General features: G+C 37.9%; 1 protein-coding gene across 27 annotated transcripts in view; it reads left to right on the top strand.

Moving 5' to 3' along the window:
• The window catches only part of ODAD2 (outer dynein arm docking complex subunit 2), a 187,508-nt gene that overhangs the window by 20,372 nt on the left and 150,810 nt on the right, over positions 1–16,326 (top strand). For 26 of the 27 annotated variants that reach the window (XM_047425404.1, XM_024448052.2, XM_047425414.1 and 23 more), the window contains 2 exons: positions 7,991–8,196; positions 10,286–10,381. The exons of the other annotated variant lie outside the window; for it this stretch is intronic. In XM_047425404.1, coding sequence (XP_047281360.1) covers positions 7,991–8,196; positions 10,286–10,381 — 302 coding nt within the window. The remainder of the gene's footprint in view (positions 1–7,990; positions 8,197–10,285; positions 10,382–16,326) is intronic. 27 annotated transcript variants of the gene reach the window in all.

Raw genomic sequence — 16,326 nt, 5'->3', positions numbered from 1 at the left:
GACTATGTTGAATAAGAGTGGTAAAAGCAGGCATCCTTGTCTGATTCCTGATCTTTTTTTTTTTTTTTTTTTGAGATGGAGTCTCACTCCATCTCACTCTGTCACCCAGACTGCAGTCTGGAGTGCAGTGGCATGATCTTGGCTCGCTGCAACCTTCACCTCCCCTCCCGGGTTCAAGTGATTCTCGTGCCTCAAGCTCCCGAGTAGCTGGGATCACAGGCATCTGCCACCATGCTCTGCGAATTTTTAGATTTTTAGTAGAGATGGGGTTTCACCATGTTGACTAGGCTGGTCTCGAACTCTTGGCCTCAAGTAATCTGCTTGCCTCGGCCTCCCAAAGTGCTGGGATTACAGCTGTGAGCCCCCATGCCTAGCCTGACTCCTGATCTTAATTGAAAAGCTTTTAGGCTTTCACCATTGAGCCTGATGTTAGCTGTGGGATTTTCTTATATGACCTTTAGCATGTTGAGGAAGTTGCCTTCTATTCAGTTTTCCTTTTCTTTTCTTTTTTTGAGATGGAGTCTTGCTCTGTCACTCAGGCTGAAGTGCAGTGGTGTGATCTTGGCTCACTGCAACCTCTGCCTCCTGAGTTCATGTGGTTCTTCTGCCTCAGCCCCCATAGTAGCTGGGATTCCAGGTGCACACCACCACACCCGGCTAATTTTGTATTTTTAGTAGAGATGGGGTTTTCCCATGTTGGCCAAGCTGGTGTCAAACTCCTAATCTCAGGTGATCCACCTGTCGCGGCCTCCCAAAGTGCTGGGATTACAGGTGTGAGCCACCATGCCCGGCTCCAGTTTTCCTTTTCTTGGTGCACCCATCATTTTGTAGACCCTCCTGAGTAAAATATGCACATGGGAGGGAAAAATTGAGGATTCGGATGTTAGAGAATACCTTTATTATTTTATCTCAGATGTTTCTAGAGTAATGGTTTGAAATTAATTTTTAGTTAGCATTTCAAAGGCTTATGTTTCCACATAAACTGTTTGTTTTGGCTTTTTCCCCTCTTTGGAGGCCTTTAGGATCTTCCTTGGTGTTCTATAATTTTTGTGGTATGGTTTGTGCAGATTTTTGTTTCTTTTTGAGATTCATCTATGCTTTTGCATCTATCATTAATTTATTGCTTTTATGGATGTGTATTATTCCATTGTATGGATATGCCACAATTTGTTTATCCACTCACCTGTTAATGGATGTGTAGTTATTTCAGGTTTCGGGCTATTACAAATAAAACTACTAAGAACATTTTTGTACAAGGATTTGTATGATCATATAGTTTCAATGTGCCTAGAATGAAATGGTAAGATCATATGGTAGTTGTATGTTTAAGCAACTGGTAAACTGCTGTCCATAGTGGTTGCAATATTTTACATTGATGTAGGCAATGTATGAGAGTCCCAGTTCTTCCACATACTCATCATTAACTGATATGGTCAGTCTTTTAACTACAGACATTCTAATAGGTGTGTACTGGTCTCTCATTTGGTTTTAATTTGCAGTTCTTGAATGCATCTTTTCATGTGCTTATTGGCCATTCACATATCCTATGTGGTAAAGTGTCTATTTGGACTCTTTGTCTGTTTTTTTCATTGGGCTATTCAGTTTTTTATTGAGTTGCAACAGATCTTTATATATGTTCTTGGCTTATATATTCTGTTAGATACATGAAATATAAATATTTCATCCCAATCTGGGTCTTGTATTTTTCTTTTTTCTTTTCTGTTTTTTCTTTTGAGACAGAGTCTCCCTCTGTCACTCAGGCTGGAGTGCAGTGGCATGATCGATCTTGGCTCGTTGCAAGCTCCACCTCCTGGGTTCACAACGTTCTCCTGCCTCAGCTTCCCAAGTAGCTGGGACTACAGGCGCCCGCCACCGCGCCTGGCTAATTTTTTTTTTTTTTTTTAGCAGAAATGGGGTTTCACCGTGTTAGCCAGGATGGTCTCAATCTCCTGACCTTGTGATCTGCCGACCTTGGCCTCTCAAAGTGCTGGGATTACAGGTGTGAGCCACCGTGCCCGGCCGAGTCTTGTATTTTTATTCTCTAAGCAATGTCTTTCAAAGAGCAAGAGTCTTCAATTTTGAAACAGTCCAACTTATTTTTTCCTTATAGTGTTTTATAACGCTTTTCCAAACCCAGTATAATGATGAATTTCTCCAATGTTTTCTTCTAGAGATTTTTCAATTTTACCTTTCCAATCTATATCTATGATCCACTTTAATTTGGTTTGTGTATATGAGTTATGGATCAAAGTTCATTTTTTTCTTTTGCTTATCTAGTTGTTCCAGCATCATTTGTCAAAAGTAAATCTATTGTTTTTTCACTGAATTACCTTTATAACTTTGTCAAAAATTAGTCGTTCATTTGTCTGTGAATGTATTTCTGAACACTTCATACTGTAACTTTGATTTCTCTATTTTTACACCAATACCACAGTCTTGATTACTCTAGCTTTATGATAAGTCTTGAAGTTGTTTATTTTAAATCCTCCAATGGTGTTCTTTCAAAAAAGTTTTTTGGCTATTCTAGATCTTTTGCATGTCCATAAGAATATTAGAGCCAGCATGTCAGTTTCTTAAAAAATTGCCTGATGGAATTACGGTTGAGATTGCCTTGAATTTATAGACGAATTTAGGAAAAATGGACATCTTAACAATATTGAATTTTCTAATCCATGAACATAGTATGTCTCTCCATTTATTTAGGTCTTAGTTAAATTCTCTCACCAATGTTTTGTAGCTTTCAATATACAGGTCTTATACATCTCTTTTGAAACTTATCTGTGTTTCATATTTTGGGGCTATTGTTAATGAGTTTTAAATTTTCTATTTTTAGTCATTTGTTGCTATTGTATAAATATACACTTGATTTTTGTATGCTGATTTTATATCCTGAAATTTTGCTAAACTCCCTTATTAGTTCTAGTACCTTGTTTATACATTCCAGAGGGTTTTCTATGTAGATATTGTTAGTGAGTAAAGATCATTTTCTTATTTCTTCCTTCCTAATTTAACTGTTCCTTCCCAATCTCAACAGTTTTTTTATTTCTTTTTATTTCCTTAATGCACTAGCTGGAATCACCAGTAAAAAATTGAATAGAAATGGTCTCTTGTTCCTGATATTACAGGGAAATCTTTCAATTAAGTTTGATGCTAACCATTTACAAGGTTAAGGCTTCTATTCTGAGTCATTGAGAACTTTTATTAGGAATGAATGTTGGATTTTATCAAATGTTTCTTTGTGTACTGTGGAGAGAATCATGTGTTTTTTTCCTCTCTTTTAGTTTGTTAATGTGATTAATTGCTTTGATTAATTTTTCAAGTGACAAACCAACCTTACATTTCTGAGACAAACCCCACTTGAATCTTTTATGTACATTATCAGATTTAATTTGCTAAGATTTTAAGAAGTTTTGCACCTATATTCATAAAGTTATTAGTGTGTAGCTTTGTTTTCTTTAGTATCTTTGTCTGGTTTTGGTATTGAAGTAATACTGACATTATAGAATGATTTAGAAAGTTTCATCTTCTCTTCAATTTTTTGGAAGAGTTTGTATAGAATTAATATTGTTTGTTTATTAAATGTTTGGTCGGTTTATTAAATGTTTGGTAGAAATGTTTGGTGAAAGCCATCTGGGCCTGGAATATTCTTTATGGGAAAAATTTTAACTACAAATTCAATTTATTTGACAGCTATGACAGTATACAGGTTGTCTGTTTCTTCCTGAGGGAGCTTTGGTAGATTAGATTGTCTTAAAGGAATTTGTTCATTTGGTGTAAGTTGCCAGATTTATTGGCATAAACTTTTTTCATAGTATTCTCTTATTGACCTTTTAATATCTGTAGAATTTGTAGTCATTGTTACCTCTCTCATTCCTAATATTGGTCATTTGTGGTTTTTTTGTTTTGATCCACCTATAGGACTATAGATTTACTAAATTTCCTCGAGGAACTAGTTTTAGGTTTAATTTTTATCTTTTATACTTTACTTTGGTGCTTATGTCTTTTTATTTGGGTTTATTTACTCTTATTTCTCCAGTTTTTAAAAAATGTTACAATACGTTTAATTTAATCTAGTCATGTTTGTGTTTGAAGAAATTTTGAGGAATTCAGTTGTGAATAATGTTTTACTTGGAGCATATAAAACAAGGGATCCTCAGCCCAAAAGCTGCTTTAGCTGGTAAACAACTTCAGCAACGTTTCAGGATACAAAATCAATGTATCAACGTACAAAAATCACCAGAATTCCTGTACGCCAACAACAGCCAAGCCAAGAGCCAAATCAGGAATGCAATCCCATTCACAATTATCACAAAAAGAACAAAATACCTAGGAATAGAGCTAATCAGAAAGGTGAAAGATCTCTACAGTGAGAATTACAAAACACTACAAAGAAATCAGAGATGACACAAACAAATGGAAAAACATCCTATGCTCATGGATTGAAAGAGTAAATATCACTCAAATGGCCATACTGCCCAAAGCAATTTATAGATTCAATGCTATTCCTATCAAATTACCAAAAACATTCTTCACAGAACTAGAAAAAACTATTTTAAAATTCATATGGAACCAGAAAAGAATAGCCAAGGCAATCCTAAGCAAAAAAAAAAAAAACAAAAACAGACCGAAGCTGGAGGTATCACACTACCCAACTTCAAACTATACCACAGGGCTACAGTAACCGAAACAACATGGTACTGGCATATAAAGAAGACACATAGACCAATGAAACAGAATAGAGAGCCCAGAAACAAGGCTGCACACCTACAACCATCTGATCTACAGCAAAGCTGACAAAAACAAGCAATGGGGAAAAGACTCCCTATTCGATAAATGGTGCTGGGATAACTGGCTAGCCATATGCAGAAGATTGAAACTGGACCGCTTTCTTATACCATATACAAAAATCAACTCAAGCGGGATAAAAGACTTAAATGTAAAACTCAAAACTATAAAAACCCTGGAAGACAACCTAGGCAATACCATTTGCAATTGCAACAAAAGCAAAAATTGACAAGTGGGATCTAATTAAACCTCAGAGCTTCTGCACAGCAAACTGTCAACAGAATAAACAGACAATCTACAGAATGGGAGAATATATTTGCAAGCTGTGCATCTGACAAAGGTTTAATATCCAGCATCCATAAAGAATGGATTTTCAAGAGAAAAACAAACAACCCCACTAAAAAGTGGTCAAAGGACATGAACAGATACTTTTCAAAAGAAGACATACATGTGGCCAACAAGCATGTGAAAAAAGCTCAATATCACTGATTATTAGAGAAATGCAAATCAAAACCATAATGAGATATCATCTTACACCAGTCAGAATGGCTGTTATTAAAAAGTCAAAATATAGCAAATGCTGGTGAAGTTGCAGAAAAAAAGGGAATACGTACACACTGTTGGTGGGTGTAAATTAGTTCAATCATTGTGGAAAACAGTGTGGCAATTCCTCAAGGAGCTAAAAACAGAACTACCATTTAATCCAGCAACTTCATTACTGGGTATATACCCAGAGAAATATAAATCATCGCATAAAGACACATGCACACATATGTTCATTGCAGCACTATTCGCAGTAGCAAAAACATCAAGTCAACCTAAATGGCCATCAGTGGGAGACTGGATAAAGAAAATGTGGTACATATATGCCATGGAATACTACACAGCCATAAAAAAGAATGTGATCCTGTCCTTTTTAAGAAGAAAACATATTACCCCCTGTTCCACTTATAAATGGGAGCTAAATGATGAGAACACATGGACACAAAGGGGAGCAATAGACCCTGGGGCCTACTTGAGATTGGAGGGTGGGAGGAGGGAGAAGATCAGAAAAAATAACTATTGGATACTAGGCTTAGTACCTGAATGATGAAATCATCTGTACAGCAAACACCTGTGACATGAGTTTACCTATATAACAAGCCTGCACATGTACCCCTGAACCCAAAATAAACTATTTTATTTTTGGTACAGATGGGGTTTTGCCATGTTGGCCAGGCTGGTGTTGAACTCCTGGCTTCAAGTGATCTGGCTGTCTCAGCGTATGTATGTATGTATGTATGTATGTATGTATGTATGTATGTATTATTTTGACCATGAGAGTTCATGCTGCAAATTTCTTTATGAGCATTGTATAAACTATGTTACACAGATATTTGATATATGATATTTTTATTCAATATATATGAGGAGTTTCTGTAGAACTTTCTTTTACTAATTTCTAGTTCAATTCCAATGTATTAAGATGTTTATATGATTTTAGTTACTTTAAACTTATTAATGTTCATTTTATGGCCCAGTATATGATCTATTTTGGTGATTTTTTTCCTTGTACATTTGAGGAGACTGTATTCTGGTGTTAATGAGAGGTGTGTCTTTTAAATGTCAATTAAGCCAAGTTGTCTGATTGTGTTGCTCATATCTTCTATATCATTACTGATGTTTTTTTCTGCTCATTTTATTGATTACTGAGAGAGTTTTGAAGTCTACCAATTATGGATTTATCTACTTTTCCTTTTAGCTCTGTGTTTCCTTCATGTATATTGAAGTTCTGTTGCTTGGTGAATATACAATTACGATTGTGTGCTAATTGATCCTCTATTAGTATGTGTGCTCCTCTTCGTCCCTGTTAATATTATTTGCTTTGGAGTCGATATTGTCTGATTTTAATATGGCCATTCCTGCTTTCTTTTGATTATTGTTTGCATAAACTATTCTTCTCCAGCCTTTCACTTCTGATGTATTTGTATCTTTATATATAAAATAGTTTCTTTAGGCCACAAATAGTTAGGTCTCCTTTTCCATCCAATCTGATGATTTCTCATTTAATTGATGTGTGTAAACACTTTCATTTGATGTAACTACTAATATAGTTAAATTTAAATTTACTATCTTGCTACTTGTTTTCTGTTTGTTTCATCTGTTCTTTGTAGTTTTTTTCCTTCCTCTGCCCCTTTTGAATTGAGCTTTTTAAAATGATTCCATTTTATTTATGCTATTGGTTTACTAGTTATATTTCTTACTAAAAGTTTCTTAGCTGCCCTCTGGCTTATGATATATATCTCAAATTTGTCACGTCTCCTTTAAGTAAAATTCTAAAATTCACAAATAGTTTAAGAAACTTACAACAATATACCTTGAATACCCCTCCCTATACTTTGTGTTATTGTTGTCACACATTTTATTTCTACATGTCATAAACCCCTCAAAACGTTGTTACTATTTTTGCTTTAGATAGTCAATTATATGTTAGAATGATTAAAAATAATACACAAAGTCTTGTATATTTATTTTTACCATTTCTGCAGCTTTTAATTTTTTGAATAGATCCATGTTTCTGGCTGGCATGGTATTACTCCTGACTGAATAATTTTATTTAACATTTCTAGCACAGGTCTTCTGGCAGTGAATTCTCTGTTTTTGTTCATCTGTGAAGGTTTTTATTTTGCTTTCATTTTTGAAAGATTTTTGTTTTATTCTTAGTAAAGAATTTTGGGTTGACATGGTTTTTTGTGTTTTCCTTTTTAGTGCTTTAAAGATATTACTCTCTTTTCTTCTGGTTTGCAGTGTTTCTGATGAGAAGTCTTTTAAAATTCTTATGTTCATTCCTCTGTAATATGTCATACCTGTCTACCTTCAAGATGTTCCCTTTATCTTTGGTTCAAGCCATTTAAATACGATGTGTTTTAGTCAATAGAGGGTTTTGGTTGAATTTTTTGGTGGTGGTGAGGAATGAGCAGGTCCAGCCTTGCAGTTGTATCTGTTGTGCTGCAGCAGAGGTGTGAGTTTAGGAACATCACGTTACTGTCCACCTAACTCCAACAGAAGCCTTAGTCTTGATGTTGTCCTTGTTTAGCTGTTACTAAGGACCACAAGTTAAATGCATCCGAGACTTCCTTTCCTGAATTTACCACTGGCATTAATCTTCAGAGAACACTAGATAATTCAGATATCATTAAAAATTATTCTCATTTTTTAAATAAAGGGAATTAGCTTCAGTGAAGACCAGCAAAAGGAAAAGGATCAGCTTGGCAAAGCCCCCAAGAAGGAAGAAGCAGCTGCCCTCCGCAAAGACATTTCTGGTTCAGACAAAAGGTCACTGGAGAAGAACCAAATTAATTTTTGGAGGAATCAAATGACCAAGAGATGGGAACCAAGCTTAAACTGGAAGACCACTGTTAATTACAAAGGGTATGTAGATATTTGCATTTGTTTTCAGATGCAGCATTAGTAACCATACTCACCTAATTTTTCACAGAACTTTATTTTATTTTATTTTGTTTGTTTGTTTATTTATTTATTTATTTATTTATTTATTTATTTATTTAAGATGGAGTCTTGCTCTGTTGCCCAGGCAGGAGTGCAGTGGTGCCATCTCAGCTCACTGCAACTTCTGCCTCCTGAGTTCAAGTGATTCTCCTGCCTCAGCCTCCTGAGTAGCTGGGATTACAGGCACATGCCACCACGCCTGGCTAACTTTTTATTTTTTGTAATTTTAGTAGAGACAGGGTTATACCATGTTGGCCAGACTGGTCTCAAACTCCTGACCTCAAGTGATCTGCCCACCTCAGCCTCCCAAAATGCTGGGATTACAGGCATGAGTCACTGCGTCTGGCCAGAACTTTATTTTATAATAGAAAAATATTGAATATATATTTACATGTCCCTCCAAGGCGCAGGTTGATTCCTTTCTGCTCCTCTTTGTATTCTAAGCAGAAAGATTTGATAGAGTTTATGTGTGGAGCACTGTGAAGGGAAGAGAAGAACACAATTCACTTTTATATAGTTGGTGAGTCAGGACAAGTAATATGCAGAAAAGATGATAAAACACTTGGAGCAGTCACAGGGGAAATGTAAAAATCATGCTAGAGACCTGGTTAAGTAAGCACTGGGAGAATGTGGAATGATGAAAATTATATGGAGCTAATCAGCGAAACTGTCATAGAGATAATGTCTAACAGAACTTTAATACCATGAAAAGGCTAGAGTCTCAAAAATATGAATGGACCTATATAAAGTGGACACTGGCTTGATGAATGTATGAAATATACAAAACAAGTGCCATTTAGGACCTTCTATAAACAGGCGTCAAAGCAAAAATTGAGGGCCAATGCTACGTAAATGCTGGGGCAGTCAGAAATACCTAGAGATTTATTTATTTATTTATTTATTTATTTATTTATTTATTTATTTATTTTTTGAGACAGAATCTCGCTGTCACCCAGGCTGCAGTGGCACAAACTTGGCTCACTGCAACCTCTGCCTCCCAGGTTCAAGCGATTCTCTTGCTTCAGCCTCCCGAGTAGCTGGGATTACAGGTGTGTGACACCACGGCTGGCTAATTTTTGTATTTTTAGTAGAGATGGCGTTTTGCCATGTTGGCCAGGCTAGTCTCAAACTCCTGAGCTCAAGTAATCCGCCCACTTCTGCCTCCCAAAGTGCTGGGATTACAGGTGTGAGCCACTGCACCCAGCCCACTTTTTAAAGCTTAACAAATAGTTTACAAGTTGCAGCCTGTAGGTGATATTCTATGTTGTCCCATTTTTGGGTTAAGAACTGATTCCTGGTTGATCACACAGGGACCTTCTCCTGCAGGGATTCTGGGAATCACAGGGTCATTGTGTTTTGGAAGCAAACCCAGAGAGCTGTTTGAAGAACGGAGTCATGTGGAGAGGGGAGACACTGGCTCCTCTGATTGATTCTCATCAATTTTGGGGTGTTTGACTTTTGTGGCTCTGTTTGAAAGAGTCAATGTGAAAATGAAAAATGCATGGGCAACTTTTTTAACTGGCAAGTGAGTTTTAAAATACTGCTTTTTCCATATTCTTACTCTTTCAAGCATGAGATTCCTTAGCAGGTATTCAAGGGAGAACACAGAATGCCAAGGACTATGCAAAGCCTGCGAATACCTGGAAAACCAGGTGCAGGCCCTGTTGCAACGTTGGGTGGGGAAGATAAGAAAATAGAAAACTATAATTGGCGGCGATACATACCTAGAGTAGAAGGCATCGGGTGCAGGATTCACACCAACAGTGGCAGCCTGTGAAGACCTGTTCCTAGGTGCTGGACAGAAAGTTTCTTCAATATGTAAAACATAGGGCTGTGCTGAAAGAGTGAAAGAGACAGCTCCGAGTGTCAGAATGAGGCTGGAACTCTTGTCAGGAACACGCATCATTTGAGCACATGGAAATAACGGAGTATATATCTACATTGCCATCTTTTATTTTTTATTAATTAGCATAAAGCAATAAAGCTAATATATTTGTATATTTTTTTAAAGCAAAGGCTCAGCAAAAGAAATCCAAGAGGACAAACACACAGGAAAACTTGAAAAACCAAGACCATCTGTTTCACACGGAAGAGCACAATTACTTCGGTATGTTTCTGGTCAGCAAGACGAGTTCCCTAAAGCCACCCTCACGCAGTGGGCTACTGAGCATGCAAATTAATGGCATCCTTCCTATTAGGGTCCCCAGATGTTTACACTGACGGTTACTAGGAATGTTAGTAAAAGTGGTCACACTGGATTTCTTTAAATACTTTTTCAAGATATTCTTCTAATGCAGTTACCCAAAATACAGTGATTTACTAGTATTAGTTGACTGTGGGAAAAGAAATGTATTTAATGCAAAGAGCAGTGACCTAAGTTTAGGAACACTGGGCTCTTAACTGATGTCTTGCCTCTGAACAATCATGTCCTGGCAAAGTTATGTATCTGTCTGAGCCTCCCTTTGCTGATCACAAAAGACTGCCGATTTTGAAGTGGTCTATGTTATTGCTAACGAAAACAATTAAAAATTGAATATGAGGCCAACTAGTAAATTTTTACTTGATTTTCAGTTTGACAAAAAAAGTGACATGTCTGGAAGATAAGGGTCAGCCACTTTTATTAGCTTCAGAGTGGTGGATATTAGCGCTTTTGTTACAATCTCACAGTTCCTTGAGGCTGCGTTCACTGATTTTTTCAGTTATTTTTTTCTCTACGTTGTTCAGATTGAGCCAATTCTGTTGTTCTATCTTCAAGTTCATTTATTTTTTCTTCTGTCCTATTCTTCTGCTAATTTCATTCAGTGAGTTTTTAATTTCACTTATAATTTTTAGTTCCAAAATTTCCATTTGGTTTTTCTTTTCTATCTTCTCTTTCTTTGCTGAGACTTTCTATTTTTTTCATTTGTTTCAAGCATGTTCATATAGCTTGTTGAAATATTGTTATGATGGTGCCTTTCATATCTTTGTCAGATAATTCATACTTCTTCATCACCTTGATATTGGCATTTTAAAATTGTCTTTTCTCATTTAAGATGAGATCTTCCCCATTCTTGGTATGACAAATAATTTTCAGTTGAAATGTAGACATTTTGGTTATTATGAGACACTGGATCTTATTTAAATTATTTATTTATTTATTTGAGACAGAGTCTTGTCTGTCACCCAGGCTGGAGTGCAGTGGTACAATCTTGGCTCAGTGCAACCTCCGCCTCCCGAGTTCAGGCAGTTCTTCTGCCTCAGCCTCCTGAGTAGATGCAATTACAGGCGTGCGCTACCACACTCAGCTAATTTTTTTATTTTTAGTAGATACGGGGTTTTGCCATGTTGGCCAGGCTGGTCTTGAACTCCTGACCTCAAGTGATCTGCCTGCCTCGGCCTCCCAAAGTGCTGGGATTACAGATGTGAGCCACTGCACCTGGCCTAAATCTTTTATTTTAGAAGGCCTTCTCTGCCACCATATTGGCAGGATGAGGTATGTGTTGCTTCTCCAGGCTGGTGAGGAATTGAAATAGCAGGTTTTCCCATAGGCCTTCACTGATGCCTGGGGGGTCAGGCAAGGGAGTCCTCATTATTTCTGGAGGGTAGTGGGAGTTCATGCTCCACCTATGCCTCTGCTGATACCAGCCGGACAGTGTGACGGGGGAGTCCTTCGTTACTTTGTCAGTGGGCTCTACTGATATCACAGTTCGGATAAGTGACTTCATTTTTGCCACGATGTAGTGAGCATCTGACTCCCTGTCAGGCCTTCTCTGAGGCCACCCCAGCAGGTGGGTTGCAGCGCTTTCTTACAGTCTGATAAAGGTAGAGCCCTAGGCTCTTCACTTGGCCTTTGCTATAAGAGGTAGACTTGGGCCACGCTGTTATGTGTGGTCTTGATTGAGATAGATCATTTGTTGTCTAAACATTTTCTGTCTTATTAGGCTTTCCTTTTCTGGCCCTTTGAATTAGACAGAGCAGGACTTTCTTAGGTCCTTTTTTTGCCTGCACCTCCTGGAGTTTCTGCTTTGCCGGCTTTTCCAGTACCCAGTCTAGGAAGAATGAGACAAAAAGAAAACCCAGGGAATGCACCGCTGTGTTGAGCCACAGGTCTTCAGATCCCTAGGTAGTGCTCTTCTTTTTCTCTGCCTTTCAGAGTCACCTTATGTTTGTTTTATATACAATATCCAGATTTTTAGTTGTGCTTGGTGGGAGAAATAGGGAAAAGTATATCTACTTCATCTTTCCTGAAACAGATATTGGGCCGAAAGTATTTCAATTTTTAGTGAATTAGCTTAGGGTAATAGATAAGGTAAAGTTTTAATGTATCCAAGCAACAGCTATTACTCAGTGATAAAAATGAAAGGTTCTCTGTGTCACATCTTGCCTAAGTGGATAGAATTCTGTGGTAGAGAAGTATTTCTTAAGGTGGAGTTTGTAGATCAATTCAGCATTGACATTTGCTTCTTTTTACCTCCTGAATATGCAGTTGCGATGGGACAGGATTGGAAGAAATCATATCAAATAGGAAAAGCATTTTAAAGTTAGCTATCAAAGGATTCATCAATTGGAAAAAAAAAGACAGCTTTTCTTTGGGGCGCTGCTTTTTAAAATGGGATTGTGGAGTGATTGGGTAGACGTAATTCACTCTGCCCTGAACTCCAGGAGCTTGTTAGACTAAGGAAGGTGAATTTAGGCTTTCCTCAAAGAACTTAGGCTTATTCTACTATATGCTTCAATCTGGAATCTTTGAGTTAAGTTTAAGTCACTTCTTGAATAGACCTGATCTACTGGAAACTTCACTCAGGTGGCTCATTAAATGGGAACAGATGCTTGAATTCAGGCTTTCCCTCTTCCAGGGTCCAGAGAGCATAATCATAGTGTTTTACACACAAATTGGCTTTTGGAAGTGCAAAAATTGGGGCTCTCTGTGCCAAAAAACCTGTAAGAAATTAAGAGAATCATGGAATCTTACAAATTAATAAAATTTAAAAATTGCCTATCCTCTTCCTATGCTCCAAAATGGAATAGAACAGAAAAGACTTTTATGGACGAGAACCCACTGGGAGTTGAAGAGAGCAGAGGAGGGAGAGAAACAAAGAAAATGAGAATGAATTGATATAAGCATGAAGGCTTAAATGGACTAGTCCTTGCCCGTGAGTTTAATGTTGAGTTAGAAACTTCTAGAGCGATGAGGAATAAAGTGTACTTTCTCGTAAGTCTTTTTATAATTGCAGCACAATGATCATGATTCCACTAATTCAATTTTTGTAAATCCAAGTTAAACATCTGCAGATGGCCCGTTTTCAGCCCTGGTTGATTTCACTCCAGGTTTGCACTGTGTAGGGTGTCAATAACCCTTTTATGGATTACTGGGGACCCAGATACATTTTGTAAAGATTAATGGGAAGCCAGAATGAATACACTACTCCAGGGGGTGGCAGGCTGGATTCCTGGGTTCCTCTTACCCATGGACACTACTCTAAATGCAAACTTGAATGAGTCCTGTCTCCTCCTGGACTCTCCTCCGTATCTTGCTCTGCAATAGCCCAAATGAATCATTCTTCCACTTTGCTCTCTCTTCTACATTTTTTTCCTTGCCCCCACCTCATACTACAAGGAAATGAATTTTCTTATATCCTCACCCTATGCACCAAAGCTTCCATTCTCTCCTTTCTTGCAGTTATTGAAACTTTTCAGTGACAGCAGCTGTTCTCCTTCAGATCTTCTTTTCCCTAGGCTCTGTGTAACCACAGGGCATGGGGACCGTAGGCAGAAATCTCCTCTTTATTGCTTCAAACTACCTTACTCTTCAGATTAGACCTCCTTTCCTATGAGGCTAGTGTAACCCTCTGTCTTTCCTGGTTGCTGTTTTCTATGGATCCATTATCACTGACAATTTTGACATTGACTGACTATCACTTTCATCCTATGTCCCATCATCATCTTGAAAAACCTGAAACCCCAAGAGGAAAACCAGTACCAAATCTTGGCCTACACACTCCCTGGTTTCAGTCTTACTGACTGTTGCCTCCTGTCCATCAAGCTGCTGCTACTGCCACTTCCTGGAATTATCACCAGAAGTACCCTTCTTCCAAAATCTTAACCTAGACTGAAGTCATTTGTTCATTCACTTATTCATACTTGCTTTAATTTATTAATTCTTCTAGCAAATATTTATTGAGTGCCTTCCTTGTGCTAGGGGAGACAGTATAAAAGACAGAAATGGTCCTTACCTTTATGGAACTTACTAAGACACTACAAGAAAACGCAGAAATAAAAATTTTCTGATGGTGACCAAAGTGGACAAGGTACTGAGCTACAAAATAATGGGAACTTAGGTAATTACTCATAGACCACAGATTTGATTCTGTTCTTGCTGAACATCGAGGTAAAGACAAAAACCTAACCAGTTACTTAATTTATGTGGTCCCTAAAATGAAAACAGATCAAATCTTCAAAAACAAAACCACAGCTTTTCCTTGGAGTTTAACAAAGATACCGAAAGACAGCATTCTTCAATAGCATTCACTTGATACCTGGCAGCCAGCAGGCCCTCCATGCACGTTTGGTGAATGAATATGCCTGATAATACAGAACTAAAACACATATTTCACACTCTCTCTATGCCAGGCATTGTTATAAGCTTTTTACATACTAATTGCTATTATCATCCCCAATTTGCAGGTGAGGAAACCGAGGCACACGTAAGTTAAAAGACTACCCCAGCTCATCTAGGAGCCAAGATGAACAGCTCCCATTACAACTATGTGTTTTAGCACAGCCACTTCACTAACCATGGAGTTTTGTTCAAATTGTTATTATTATTAATATTACAGAGTGTTGCTGTGTCATCCAGGCTGGAGTGCAGTAGCACGATCTTGCCTCATTGCAACCTCTGCCTTCCAGGTTCAAGTGCTTCTCCTACCTCAGCCTCCCAAGTAACTGGGACAAGAGGCACACGCCACCATACCCAGCTAATTTTTGTATTTTTAGTAGAGACAGGGTTTCACCATATTGGCTAGGCTGGTCTCAAACTCCCAACTTCAAGCAATCCACTCACCTCGGCTTCCCAAAGTGCTGGGATTACAGGCGTGAGCCACCATGCCCGGCCCAAATTATTTTTAACTCATTATCTCTATAATGAGAGTAATGACAACCTCATAGATTGTTGAGAGAATTAAAATGAGACATTTAACCCACAGTCTGTTGTCCGGAACTCTTGTGGCCAAATGCATGGGGGTCTAAAAAACTCACTTCAAAAAAGGGTAATGAAATTCATACAATATATATTATATGATAACCTCTATTGGAGTGTGAGCCAATACCCTGTAATCAAAAACATGAGCATTTCTGTAGTGAAACATGAATATTCACACTGAATGAGAGGAATTAAGACCATAAATAGTCTATTATTGGTTCATATAAGGCCTTAGCAACAAGTTAAGTCCAGTGGGGGGAAAAATAGTTTTCAGAGCTTTTTGGATTTCAGAGTTAGAGGAAAAGTATTGTGGACTTGTGTGTTCTATTATGGTCATTGACTTTGTGACTTTGATATTTAAGGACACCTTAATATGTGATTGGCAAAAGTCATATTTTAAGTAATTTTGGATCCTTCAAAGTGAATGATTTTTTTTCTCCTCTTAATTTCTCTGACATTTCCTTGCTTGTAGAATGGGGATAATAGAGCCTGCTTTGCAAAGTGGTTGTGAGGTTTAGAAATAATGAATATAAAGTGCCTGGGACAGGCCGGGTGCAGTGGCTCATGCTTGTAATACCAGCACTTTGGGAGGCCGAGACGGGAGGATCACGAGGTCAAGAGTTCGAGACCAGCCTGGCCAACATGGTGAAAATCCCGTCACTACTAAAAATACAAAAATTAGCCAGATGTGGTGGCGCATGCCTGTAAGTCCAGCTACTCAGGAGGCTGAGGCAGGAGAATCACATGAACCCGGCAGGCGGAGGTTGCAGTGAGCCAAGATTGCACCACTGCACTACAGCCTGGGTGACAGAGCGAGATCTCGTCTAAAAAAAAAAAAAAAGTACACAGGGCAAAATAGACAAAACTGGTGGCTG

The sequence above is a fragment of the Homo sapiens genome, chromosome 10, assembly GCF_000001405.40.
Source record: "Homo sapiens chromosome 10, GRCh38.p14 Primary Assembly".
NCBI lineage: Eukaryota > Metazoa > Chordata > Mammalia > Primates > Hominidae > Homo > Homo sapiens.
The sequence above is the reverse complement of the archived record's forward strand: the minus strand, read 5'-3'. Positions and strand labels throughout refer to the sequence as shown.